At 46.1% G+C, this 13,655-nt stretch overlaps 1 protein-coding gene across 21 annotated transcripts in view, besides 3 other annotated features; it reads right to left on the bottom strand.

Moving 5' to 3' along the window:
• Positions 1-5,732, bottom strand: part of ACVR1B (activin A receptor type 1B) — a 45,380-nt gene extending 39,648 nt beyond the window's left edge. For 17 of the 21 annotated variants that reach the window (NR_182042.1, NR_182041.1, NR_182043.1 and 14 more), the window contains exon 1: positions 5,597-5,732. Coding sequence is in view for 11 of the 21 variants with exons in the window: in NM_020328.4 (NP_064733.3) it covers positions 5,597-5,687 (91 nt within the window). In the remaining 10 variants the exon portion in view is untranslated. Of the gene's footprint in view, positions 1-3,931; positions 4,048-4,659; positions 4,737-5,596 lie in introns of those variants that run through there. The other 4 variants (NM_001412778.1, XM_047429858.1, NM_001412779.1 and 1 more) reach the window with 2 other exon arrangements.
• Positions 5,335-5,954: an enhancer, noted in NCBI's record as "H3K27ac hESC enhancer chr12:52345261-52345880 (GRCh37/hg19 assembly coordinates)". NCBI's record gives its function as "activates a minimal SCP1, AML or CMV promoter by ChIP-STARR-seq in naive H9 embryonic stem cells {active_cell/tissue: H9 hESC(naive)}" and the evidence as "EXISTENCE:reporter gene assay evidence [ECO:0000049][PMID:30033119]".
• Positions 5,738-5,787: a silencer, noted in NCBI's record as "silent region_4476". NCBI's record gives its function as "represses an Ori minimal core promoter by ATAC-STARR-seq in GM12878 lymphoblastoid cells {active_cell/tissue: GM12878}" and the evidence as "EXISTENCE:reporter gene assay evidence [ECO:0000049][PMID:35858748]".
• Positions 5,818-5,877: a silencer, noted in NCBI's record as "silent region_4475". NCBI's record gives its function as "represses an Ori minimal core promoter by ATAC-STARR-seq in GM12878 lymphoblastoid cells {active_cell/tissue: GM12878}" and the evidence as "EXISTENCE:reporter gene assay evidence [ECO:0000049][PMID:35858748]".

The raw sequence follows: 13,655 nt of genomic DNA, 5'->3' as shown, positions 1-13,655 counted from the left end.
ACTCCGTTGCCTAGGCTGGAGTGCAGTGGCGCAGTCTCCGCTCACTGCAACCTCTGCCTCCCAGGTTCAAGTGATTCTCCTGCCTCAGCCTCCTGAGTAGCTGGGATTACAGGCACACCACCACACCTGGCTAATTTTTGTATTTTTAATAGAGACGGGGTTTCAGCATGTTTGTCAGGCTGGTCTCGAACTCCTGACCTCATGATCCACCTGCCTCGGCCTCCCAAAGTGCTGGCATTACAGGCGTGAGCCACTGTGCCTGGCCTATGATACACTCTCGTACTATACAGCCTGGGTGACAGAGCAGGACACTGTCTCAAAAAAATAAAAATTAAAAATAAAAATAAACAGAAACACATGAAACAGGCCAGGTTCAGTGGCTCATACCCGTAATCTCAGCAGGTGAAGCCCAGGTGAGTGGATTGCTTGAGCCCAGGAGTTCAAGACCAGCCTGGGCAACATGTCGAAACCCTGTCTCTACCAAAAAGTAAATAAATACAAAAATTAGCCAGGTGTGGTGGTGTACACCTGAGGTCTCAGCTACTCAGGAGGCTGAGGTGGGAGGATTGCTTGAGCCTGGGAGGCAGAAACTGCAGTGAGTGAGATCATGTCACTGGACTCTAACCTGGGCAACAGAGCAAGACCCTGTCTCAAAAAAAGAAAAAAAAAGAAACACATAAAATAAGGTTATGTATTGACAGGTTGAAAAAGTGACCAGAGGCTCGCAGGAACCTAGCCCTGTATTTCCCCTAGGAGCAATGGTTGAAGATTTGGTAATTCAGTTCTACAATTCAACTTTATGGAACTACCACAAATAACAAGACTGTATTAGCCCCATTTTACAGATAAAACAATGAAGCTGATAGAGAGGTGAAGTGGCAGCTCCAGGCACACTATGGCACAGCATCCTGTTTTATTTTCTTCACAGCACTCATGGACTGATAATTGTGTTTACTTATTTATTTTCAGTCTAAGCCATTGCAATTATAAGTTCCATAATAGAGATTTAGGGACTTTTGTTCATCTTGTTCTCTGTTATTTCCCCATGCCAAAAACTGTTCCAGGCACATACCCAATCCAATGAATAAAGAAATCTCCTATATGTTAACTGTGTAAATATTAGGTGTGATGTTATGGTTTAAAGGGAAAGGCAGTTACTTTCATTATGCTAAATTCAAAATATTTAGGGAGACAAATGCAGGCTTAAGACTGGGTGGACACTAAAGAAAACCAAAAAGCCCAGAGTTGCCTAAAGTGGCACTGTCTCTGAACCCTAGAGAGCAGATAAAGATTGCCTGGGATGGAAACTTCACAGCTAAACCAAAGTATGGCAACTCTACAGAGTAAAGGAAAGAAAGATACTCTCTGAAATCATATTTTTGCTTAGCACACCATTTCTCCATAACAGAGGAGAGAGAGCAGACATGGACAGAAATGGTGCCTCTGAAGCCAAAGCTCAAGTTAAACCTGCATGAGAGTGAAAAACTGAGAACAGAAACTCAGAGCAGGTATCTGAACCTGGCCATGAGGCAGTGCCTGCAGAGTGAGAGAAATGTAAGTTGGACTTAAAAGGTTCCCGCATTCCCAGTCCAAGTGGAACTGATGGGCTGTGGCTGCCTGCAGTTATGTCCAGCATCAGAAGCACTGGTGAGAAAGGACTCTAGGATTCCCTTTTTATGAATACAGAGAGGAAAATGAGATTAAGACCCTCTTACACCAACTCCTACAACAACAGCTAACACAAGAACTGAAGACAAACAGGCGAGATCCCAGAATTAATGTTCACTGCTACTCTGAGCAAAAATTGAACAGTAAACAATAGAGATTTCAAAATTATAAAGAGCCACTTCAGTATTCTAATTTAACCTTCAAAAATTAAGATGACCTAAAGCACCACGAACTGATAATTCCATTCCACCTCAACACCCTGTGCTCCTCAGCTATTATGAGAACAGACTGCAACCCAATTCAACTCATGTTCCAAAATGCAACAAGCAGCTTCAACAGGACATGCTGGAAGAAGCAGCACGTCTCATCGTTTACTGATTCATATTTTGGTAGCAAGGTTACAATTAGCTCACCGGTGGAGAATAAACCTATTTATAACACAGCAGTCCACCTGAAAGACATAATCATCTAAAAAGGTTCTTAGAGGAAAATAAGTGCAGGTTCTTCCTGTACTGATTGCAGATTCCCAAGGTCCTTTTGGATAAAGTCCTCAGTCTAACCTTCCTGTGTTCACAGTCACCATTCTGGCCACTTCTCAGCCTCCATGTTCTTATGTAACATTTACATAGTGCCATAAACATACCCAGAGTTGCGTAAGAATTAAAACGTTGCCAAACCAATAAAGCCTAAAGCAGGTCACTCCCTCCAGACTGTCTTTGATTAGCACAGGTATGCTGCCTAGTCGACGATGTAAGAGCCTGCCAGAGACAGAAATTAACTTGAGGAAATCTGAAAGGGGTCTACAAAAAAGCACAAAAAGAAAACCACACTGTGACATGCTGTACGTCTATCAATCACAGAGTATGTTTTTCTGCTCCTTAAGATAAAAAAGTAACCCAGCATTGCTTATTCACTGAAGTCAGAAACTGTGTCTAAAAATACCTCCCCGCCAACTGGCTATCAGTAAGTCAGTCTCACAAATGTCCCAATAAGAGTGACACAAAATATTTCCTTATTTTTACAGAGGGAAAACTGAGGCAGTCACAGAAAGGTTAAGTTACTTGTTCAAGGACAACTTGTAAGGCAGCTAAGTTCTAGGGCTGAAAACCAGCCTCCTCCCTCCATCTGGCTTTAACCTTTAACCAGAGTAGCCATTTTAATATGTTTTATCACATCTGTTCCAGGAGCTGTTTAAACAAAACTAATCAGAGGTCTCTACAAGACTGCACTTCCACTGTACTTAAAATCCATGTCCACTCAACAAAATTACAAGGCTTGGCTTGAAATTAGATTTTTAGTCCGCTCACAAAATTTCAAAATGTTCCTATGAGAATGTCAAATATCTCTCTTGTTGCTTTTGTCTTGAGAAATGAATGTCATGTTCTCCTGCTACTAACTCAATTTTACATTTTTAAATGTGAAAATTCCAAAGCCAGGCCTTAAAACATGTACACCTATCAAACGGATGCTATTTCTAACTGAAACTCATTCTCCTTATCACTGGCCTTTTACTAAGTCCTAGTTAATTCATTAATTAATAGAAACACCTATCCCTTACTGCCCCTCACATCAAGTCCAAGTATCAGGCATCAGAGCTGTCTGGCTCTGTCACTCCTCCAGCCCACGTAGGGGAGCACTATATAGGAAATGCAGGGGAGGGGAAAAAAATCAACTTCTTGTTATCCCACAGCCTCTATTTTCCCAGAACTGACGTTTTACTTTAAGCCCTTTGCAGCAGTGGTCTCCATAGCATACACTATTGGCAACTAGACGTGTCCTGGAAAAAACTGTAGTGTCTGGCCAAGAAGTTTAAAGGCCCTGGAGAATGTTTGCTGGACACACAACCTAATTTCCAATTTACCAAAAAAAGAAACGAACTCCCTATTTTACTCACCCACCTTAACCCCCACAAACATCCATTTTAGGAAGGTTACAAAAAAATGAACTCTGCCCCATTCAGAACCACTTGGATTATCAAACATTCTTAACTAGGCTCACAACCAGAAAAACCCCACAAACACTACATCAAATCAGCAGGGAAATGACTGTTAAAAATCCTGGATATATTAGGGGCAGGATAAAAATTCCTATATGAGGATTTAAAGATTTATACATACACACATAAAATGACAAACCTAGAGGTTCAATCTCCCTTTTTTTTTTTTTTTACTACCCAGTAGAGAACATTATGTTACACATTCCAAAAACATGGCCCTTAATAAGGCCCGACGAACATCCTTATTCATGCAAATCATTATCTCACCACAAATGTCAAGCTCTGTTCATACACCTTCACCATGTTTCTCAAACCCCACAGCACAGATACCTAAGCCACAGAGCAGTGAGGCCGAAGAACACACACGAGGTGCTTAGGAGAAGCATTAGCCCGTGAACAAAGACCCCGCTGCACAGGCTCCACCACTGGGAACAAATATCAAAGCCGGAGATAATGAACTTGTTTTTGAGATTCCAAAGTGGCATGGTGTCTTTTCTTGACTGTCTGGTTTATTAAAGACGACTGAACCCACCTGAGAATCATTATTTTTAGTGTAAGAGAAGAGAGCCACAGAACACACTTTATCTCCCATTGCTGGAAGGTTAGGGGCTGCTGAGAAGTCAAAGCATCAGGCTTTGTACGTCAGGAGCGAATACAATCCTGATCATCTCTCCCAGATCCATCTGTGGGTCAATAATCGCTTCAATATAACTGCCAAATATAACCTTCATCTGCTACCCCAAGGCCAAAACACATTCGCCAAGACTCTCTTAAATGAAATATTTTAGGGTTTCATCTGCTCTTCTCAGCCCCCAAAGCCTCAAAAACAACACAGCCAGCGAAGTGTCCCGCAAAAAGGTACCCGCTTCTACAGAGAGGAGAGTGGGGGGGTGGTATAAGGCGAGCCGCAGACTGTGGGGATTGGGAGGTAAGGGGTGTGTGAGGGTGGGCGGGCTGGGAAGAGGCATCGTGTAGGAAGGTAAATAAGTACTGACCAAGGGCCGGGAATACAGTCCAGTGGTGGGATCTTTAAATAATCTTGGGGGTTTGGAGACAGGTTCCAGGATTTCACCTGAAAGGCATCCACAAAGTGATTAACTGAATGGGCCCCCCGGGGTAGGGTGGGGGAGGCGAGGAGGAAAGCAAATACACCTAGATTCACATCAACCCTTGGGGAACTCGGTTCCATAGGGTTAGGGATTCCAAAGCCAGGCTCCAAAAAGGTTTAGGGGCCTGTTCGTCCCACTTCCTCCAAATAGCCTCCACGGGGCATGAGTGCCGGAGGGCGGAGGGGGGATTGCCCCACTGAACTCAAGGGATTGAGTGAAGGGGAAATGTGACTCCCTTTCCCAGAACATTAGGGAGGCAGTGGAGGGAGGGGAAGAAACACGCCAAGTGCAGGACCTGAAGGAAAGGTTAGAGACCCCTTCCCCTACAGTCTGAGGTGCGCGGACTCTCAACATCAGGTTCCCTCGGAGAGGCTAAGACCCCACCGCCCGAACCCCACAGTCTTGGCGGGAGAAAGACGCCCCCCAGGAGCACCTGGAGGGAGGGAAGAAAGCCCCCCGCCCCTGGACACGGTGAAGGGCAGAAACCACGGACCTCCAAATCTTGGAGCTGGAGGCTCAGACTCCCCTCTCTGGAACACGAGGGCGCTGGGAGCGCGACCCCTGAGAACTGCCCGAATCCAGTTCCGCCTGGAACAGGGCTCGGGTCCCCAGGGGCCCGGCGTGAGCTCCGTCGCCGCCGGGCGGCTGCGCCTCGGAGATCGGGGAAGCTGACTGGGGGTCACCCCGACTCCTCTGCGCCCCCCACCCGGCCATATTGTGCTCGTGGGGAGGGGGCGCGCTGTAGTCCAGCGGCCGCGGCTCGAGGCCTCGCCCTTGCCGGGCCCTCTCCATCCCGGCCCCCGCCCCCCGTCCCAGGACTCACCCTGGACCCCCCGGGGCCCGGACCCGCCGCTGCCGGCGAGCAGGAGGACAACAAGGGGGAAGAAGGAGGAGGCTCCGGCCGACTCCGCCATAGTAACCACCGCCGCCGCCGCCGCCGCCGCAGCCCAGCAGCGCCCAGCGCGCGCGCGCGCGCCCCCGGCGCCTCCCCTCCTCCCGCGGCCCGGCTCCCGCCTCCCTCTCCTCCGCCCGGCGCCTGCACGTGCGCTCCCGGCGGAGCCGGCGCCGCGGCCGCCGCGCGCGCCCCCGAAGGGCGGGGCCGGGGCGCGCGCGGGCGCCCGCCTTAAAGGGGAGTGTCCCTGTTAAAGGGGTGGGCGGGGCTCACGCCTCGGCCAACTTCGCGGATCGGTGCCGAGCCCGGCGCGGAGGAGGCCGGAGCCGAACGTGCAGTCTCCTCCCTCTCCTGCACCCCACGCAGTGCAGAATTATCTTATCAGAGTCGATCCCCCGCCCCCGTCGAATATTCTACGAATCCCGTGCGTGTTCCAGTTCCTCCATCCCTGCGCCTAGCCTCAAGCCCCCAGCGCGTCCCCTGGGATCATCGCCGCGGTCTCCTAACTGGTTTCCCTGCCTCGCCTCGCCCCCTGCCATCCTCTGGACGCGGCAGCCTGTGTGATGGAATCGCGGCACGCGCCTTTTCAGAACATAGCAAAGCTCTTTATTGATGACAGTATGGGTGAGGGTGCCGTGTGAGGCACTCTGATTGGGCTGGTAGGTAGAACCCTTTTGGTAAACAATTGGCATTATGCATCAAATGCCTTAAAATCTTCATATCCATTTACCCAGTATTGTCCCCTGTCCTCAAGAAATAATAAGAGGACAGATGTTTATGAAAAATGTTAACTGTATATTTATCATTGTAAAAAAGGTAGAAACTAAGTAGACAATAATAGAAAATGTTAAATTATGGCCCATCCATATGATGGAACATTATTTAGTAATTTAAAATCCTGTTTACAAAAACTATTGACATGAGAAAATGCTTACAAGATAATGTTAAATTAAAAAAGCAAAATGCAACACTGTTTACAGTATTATTCAAATTGTACTGATAATATGTGTTTATAGGAAAAAAAGACTGGAAGGATATTTACCCAATAGTAACAGTAGTTATTGCCATAATTTTTTTACTTTTAACATTTCAATAATTTCTAAATATTTTTCAAATAAATGTTACTTTCAAATCTAGAAGAAATGCTTAAGAAAGTAAACAAATCACTCCGTATCTTTCTGAAAAGAGGTCAGTTTCTTTAGCTTGAGAAAGAACTTGATATAAAGGAAAGGGCAGAATTTTTGCAGCCAGAGAATTCTGGATCTGAATTCTGCTTCCTACTAACTAGCTGTGAAAACTTGGGCAAGGTTTGAACCTCTCTAAGCACAGCTTCACCATCTGAGATCTAGGGGTGGAAAGGATGGCCAAGAGATAGGGAGAACAGTTGCTTAAATGGAATTCTCACCTTCTAAGTTTCACCAACCTGAAGAACTCCCATCGTCATATCCGGAAAAAATAAAGCTGAAGACACACTCGCCAGACACAGTGTACACACAATCACATAAAGTCATGGGGAGGCATTGTCTACAAGTTGGTCAGTGTAGCTGGATGAGTAAATAACTTATTCTCCTCTCCCTCATCTCCCCCAAATAGGCACACCCCACCCAGTCCGTCTAAGTGGTTTCCAATCCATGCTCTATCCACCAAGCTGTGGTGCACACAGTGCTAGGTTACTGTGTTAGTTTCCTACTACCAAACTGGGTAGCTTAAAATACAAATGTATTCTCTCACTGTTCTGGAGGCTAGAAATCTGAAACCATGGTGTTGGCAGGGCCATGTGCTCTCTGAAGGCTCTAGGGAAGAATCCTTCCTTGCCTCTTCTAGCTTCTGGTGGTTCCCAGGATCCTTGGTGTTGTTTGGTTTGCGGAAGCATAACCCCATGTCTTCACATGGTTATCTTCCCTCTGCATCTACATCTCTGTCCACATTCCTCTCTTCTTATAAGGATACCAGTCATTGGATTAGGGCCCACCCTAATCCAGTATGAGTGCAAATGATCTTAATTGGTTACATCTGCTGCTAAGATCCTCGTTCCAAGTAAGATTACATTCGCAGGTTCCTGGTAGACACGAATTTTGGGTGGACACTATTCAACCCAGTACAGTCACCAACCCCTGCAGTTAAGAAGGGAAAGCCAACCCCTCAGGAGCACATATCTGAAGCCAGGGGGGAGGGAGGTATCTTTCCTTATTTCTTGCTAAGTGCTGCCACTGTGGCTTCGAGGCCAGGGGTCCCAGAGGGGACCTGTGGTTGCTTCACTCCTAGACAGTAAAGTCAGCCACACAGCTAAATATACAGATCAGGGAACCAGAATGCTGGCTCCACAGACCAAATGCCACCTCCGTCAGCTCCATCAGCTCACTTGACAGCATTGAACTTTGGGCAAGATACTTTACCTCCCTAAACCTCAATTTACTCATCTTGTAAAATGGAGCTAATAATAGTTCTATGTCATACAGATATTGTTAGTATTGATAAAATATGGTAAAGCATTTAGCATAATCTCTGACACATAGGAAGTGATCTAAAAAGAATAGCTATTATCATCATTATGAGTTGACCTTCACTACAATCCTAGGAAGTGGTTGAGGCATGTCAGAGTGTGCCCCGATGAAGTGACTGAGACTTAGAGAAGGTAAGCGATTTGCCAAGGCTCACATACAATCCATCATTAAAGCCACAGCCTACTGGTCCTGTGCTTTCTTCAACACCATAGCATCTCCTGCTTTTCTAGGTACTGGTCTTCAGGACCCAGCTGAAGGTGGAAAATGAGGTGGAGCAGGGGAGGGGTTAATCATATGCCTCACACCCCATTTGTGAGAGTTTGGGGCATCTCCAAACTAGAGCTTTCCTAGGTGATGTGTCTACCTTCCTTTTAGGTCCCGCGCTACATAGAGACTGCCTAATCCCTACCTGTGCCCTTCGCTCCTTCCCACAGCCTGGCCCAAGGATGCTTCCTGCTAGTTCTCCTCACCATCCCTGAAGGCCCCGGTAAGTGTCCATTTTCGTAAGCCTTCTTTTTTTTCTTTTTCTTTTTCTTTTTTTTTCTTTTTTGAGACGGTGTCTCGCTCTGTCTCCCAGGCTGGAGTACAGTGGCATGATCTCGGCTCACTGCAACCTCCGCCTCCTGGGTTCAAGCGATTCTTCTGCCTCAGCCTCCCAAGTAGCTGGGACTACAGGCATGCGCCACCATGCCTGGCTAATTTTTGTATTTTTAGTAGAGACAGGGTTTCACCACATTGGTCAGGCTGGTCTCGAACTCCTGATCTCGTAATCTGCCTGCCTCGGCCTCCCAAAGTGTTGGGATTACAGGCGTGAGCCACCGTGCCTGGCCTTGTAAACCGTCTTAATCTTAGGGCTGGACCCACATCACAGTCTATGAACTTCTTTTCCCCTCTGCCCTGTCTCTTTGTCAGGAGAGTCCCCAGAGCTAGCAGGAGCCACTTCTCCAGGAAAAAGTCTTACTCCTTAGTCCCACTGACTAGAGTGACAACTCAGTGTGACAATTGCCACATTGGTCGCAACGCACAGAGACACCACTACCTAGGGGATCATTTGCCTTGGTGAGCAGCAGGGTCATTCATCCCAAGAAGGCAATAGTTCATCTTCACTCATCCATTCCACAAGCACTAAGCACCTACAGTACACCAGGCACAACATATAGACATGGATAAGTCATAGTCCTCGCCTTCATGGAACTTAAAATCTAATACAGAAAAGCATGAGAAAAAGAGCAACAACGGGTTATCTCTGCGAGGACACAAGCCTGTAAAGAGCCAATGAGGGCCACTCAGGGGACATGAATGATTCAGCTGTGAGGGGACAGGCTGAGGAGTTGAGAAAGTTTTCACGAAGAGACAGGCTACGCTGATTCTTGGAAGATCAGAGAGTCCCCCCAGATAGGCCTGTGTCAGGAGGGCAGGAGATGGCAGGAGACTGTTCTGCCTGGCATTTAGGAGAACCGTGAGCAGCCTAGCGGTACACCCAGAAGATGCAGGCTGAAGATGATGGACAGTGGAAACGTAATGTTGGTGAGCTAGGCAGACGTGGAAGTCTACTTGGAAATGGAGCACACTGGAGTGGGAGTCTAATAAGAGACCCTCTTCAGTACACTTGGAAGGGTTCTAAGTGTAAATTGATCATGTTTGTATTTTAGGAAAGGCTAAACTGATCATATTTGTAAACTGATCATATTGTGTTAGGAAGATCACTTTGCTGAACCAAGTGAATTTGAACTTTGTACAGAGGCTGGTTGGAGGAAGACAAGACTGGTTGTAAGGAAACCAAAGAGAAGGCAAAGCCCAGGCAAGATAGGAGGTGGACCTGACCCCAGGCAGCAGCAATGTGAAGGTGGAAAAGAGAAACAGATTCAAGAGTTCAAAGACGTAGAAATGACAAGATTGATTGGATACGGGAAATGAGGAAAGGGGATGGCCCCATATGACTCTAGGATAATCTTAGGTGACTAGCTGCCTGGTAGTTTCATTCAGCAGACTAGAATGGGCAGGTTTGGGAAAAAGAAAATTAGTTCCTTGGCTGGGCGCAGTGGCTCACGCCTGTAATCCCAGCACTTTGCGAGGCCAACGCAGGTGGATCACCTGAGGTCAGGAGTTCAAGACCAGCTGGCCAACATGGCAAAACCCCTAAAAATACAAAAATTAGCTGGGCATGGTGGTGGGCACCTATAATCCCAGCTACTTGGTAGGCTGAGGCAGGAGAATCACTTGAACCCAGGAGGCAGAGGTTGCAGTGAGCCAAGATTGTGCCACTGCACTCCAGCCTAGGCGACAGAGACTCCGTCTCCAAAAAATAAAAAAATTTTAAAAATGTAAAAACTGAGTTCCTTGTCAGGCATACTGAGTTTGAAGGTACCTGGAGCCACAGAGATGTAGATTTGGAAGTTAGCAGCATATCATTGTTGTTCAAACAGCTCAAGGGAGCAAGAGAATTCTGGAAATACAGCAATACCAGCAAAAAAGAAGACAGAAGGAACAGTGATAGAAGTAGGAAGAGAACCTGGGAAAAATAGAATAATAGAAACCACGGCAAGAGAGGCTTTCAAGAGGCCCATAGTTTGTAATGTTGACAAGAGGTCAAGTAAGATGAGGAACAAGAGTCTCTTAGGGCTTTGGTAACTTCTGATTGGTGACGTTTACCTGAGCAGGCTCAGTGGAGGATGGGGTGAAGGCCTAACTTCAGGAGGCTACAAGTGGGGGTGAAGGCTTAGAAACACTGAGTATCATCTATTATTTAAAATAACTTGGCTATGATGGGAGGGGGAAATTTGGATTTCCTTTGGAATGGTAAACCAGGTTCCTTGAGCAAATCTTCGGCTGAAAACAACGTAAAATGCTCAGTAAACTAGCAAGAAAGTGAATACTCAAGTAAAAGACTAAGAATCAAAGAGGAAAGCTAATCACCAAAGCTGGCTTTTCTGTTCAGAGCCTTTGCATACGGGTGAGCTCGGACTTTGGTTTTCACAGGCAAGCAGGATATAGGGGACAGGAGACAGAGCTCAAGCTCATCCAAAGTGGGAAGTCTAATAACAGATCCTGTGCACAAGGCTGTGACCCACAAAGGGTAATACACATCGTCTAAGGAGGGACCAGAAATAATTCACTCCTCAGGCTGGGCGCGGTGGCTCACACCTGTAATCTCAGCACTTTGGGAGGCCAAGGCAGGTGGATCACCTGAGGTCAGGAGTTCGACACCAGCCTGGCCAACATGACGAAACCCTGTCTCTACTAAAAAAAAAAAAACACAAAAATTGGCCAGGTGTGGTGGCGTGCACCTGTAATCTCAGCTGCTGGGGAGGCTGAGGCAGGAGAATCACTTGAACCTGGGAGGTGGAAGTTGCAGTGAGCCGAAATCACGCCATTGCACTCCAGCCTGGGCAACAAGAGCAAAACTCTGCCTCGAAAAAAAAAGAAAAGAAAAATTAAAAAGAAATAATTCACTCCTCCAGGAGACTACAAGGAAAACTGCCTGACTTAAACCTTGGCTCTTGAGATCGCACCATTGCACTCCAGCCTGGGTGACAGAGTAAGATTCTGTCTCAAAAGAAAAAAAAAACAAAAAACAAAAAACAAAAAAACCTTGGCTCTGAGTGAGAATGGGAGAAAATATCCCCTGAGAATTCATAACGGCAAGCTGGCCTCCATGATGTGATTTTATTCAAAATTCACCCTATCTAGGCAGTCTGAAAAACTACACGCTATTTAGATTCAAGTGGTCTGAGGCCCATAGTACTTCCTGGTAGTACGTGGAAGAAGGAAGAGCAAATCATCTGTAGAGGAACCCAAATTGAACTCAGGCTACAGGGAATTCTCACAGACCAAATTTTAAGAAATATAATCTGCATAGACAAAAATCCAAAATAAGCCCAAGAGAAAAATAACAGTCAACTTAAAATTGTATACTCACAGAAATGGCTTTAAAGATCAAGGGCTAAATAAAAAATATATGTTACGTATGAATTCGTGCATACTTTACTAACAGTTAAGTATTCACTAATAGGAGAGGAACAGAGTGTATAACTTAGAGGTTAAGAGGATGAAGAAATAGAATTATACAAAATAATCCAAAAGGAATTGAGAAAGGAAATAAAAAGGACAATATAGGTTGAGCATTCCTAATCCAAAAATCCACAATCCAAAATGCTCCAAAATCTGAAACCTTCTGAGCACTGACATAATGCTCAAAGGAAATGCTCATTGCAGCATTTCAGATTTTTTATTTTTGGATTAGGAATGCTCAACACGTGAGTACCATGCAAATATTTCAAAATCCTAAAAACTCTGAAATCCAAAACACTCTGGTCCCAAGACAAGTGATACTGAATCTCTGGTAAAGTGGGATAAATAGAAAGAAGAAAATAAGATGGTGAAAATAAATCCAAATATATCTGTGATTACAATAAATGTAAATGGACTAAATAATCCAATTTAAAAATAAAGATTTCCAGACTGGACAAGAGAAAAAGAAAAGGGGATTGCAGAAGGATACACAAGGTGAAGGGAGTGTTTACTCCCTTTTGTTGCTTTAATAAGAGGAGAAAGACTGCAGCTTAGACTGCAATAAAAGAGCCAAGAAGAGTTCATAGATACAGGAAGAAGTAGTAAGTAATGGAACCAGAACCCAGGGTAGATGAGAAGCACAGGATAAAGATCCAGAGGTACAGTGATTAGCCTTGGCATGGAGGAAATTACCTTGCTAGAGCTGGAGAAACGAGGTAAACCAAGAGAAAGTTTATAGGCATGAAGGGTCATCCTGATGTTCTCAGTCAGGCCCTCTGTTTCGGTACAGTATGCTCAGGGGGCATGGTGGCATATGATGGTAGATGTGCTTGAGGAAGGTGGTAAGGATTTGTAAAAAGCCACTGTGGAGAATGGGAGTGGTGTCCAGGGACATAGAAAAGCAGAAAGGGATTGTCAGAGTGGCACTGGGGCCCAGGCAGGATTACAGAACATAAATTTGAGGTCATAACAAGCCTCTTTTATAATACCATTTCCTCAGGAAATGCTCAGCAGTCCAGGCTGGGAGCAGAAGAGGGGCCGTTTGGAGGTTGAAGGTGTAGGGGTGGGGCCCTGGTGAAGGGACAAATGAGCCAGGATGGTGAGGGAAGCAGAGGGAGGGGAGGTTAGGCAATGAAGAGAACTTGGATGGGATATGCCTGGTGACTAAGGATGGGGGCTAATTAGAGGGATTGCTCTGGGCCCAAGAAGCCCAAAGGCCAGAGTCAGCGTTAGGGTCTTGCTGTGGTCAGCAGCCTGTAGTCTGTGTTTAGCAGTCCGTGGGGTGGTGCGGAGCTGTGGTGTACTTGGAGAAAACCCTCCCAGGCTTTTCTTGCTCACTTTCTACTCCAGAGGCAATTACATGATTTTTAGAAGCAAGCCTTCTTTGGTTCTTTTAATCTACACATTGACCTCATCCTCCCCCTACCCCATCCATTCCCCAGTGCCTCCTTGGAAATAGGCCCTGTGCCCTCAGC

The sequence above is a fragment of the Homo sapiens genome, chromosome 12 (assembly GCF_000001405.40).
Source record: "Homo sapiens chromosome 12, GRCh38.p14 Primary Assembly".
NCBI classification, from domain to species: domain Eukaryota; kingdom Metazoa; phylum Chordata; class Mammalia; order Primates; family Hominidae; genus Homo; species Homo sapiens.
This window is presented reverse-complemented; position numbering and strand designations above follow the sequence as displayed.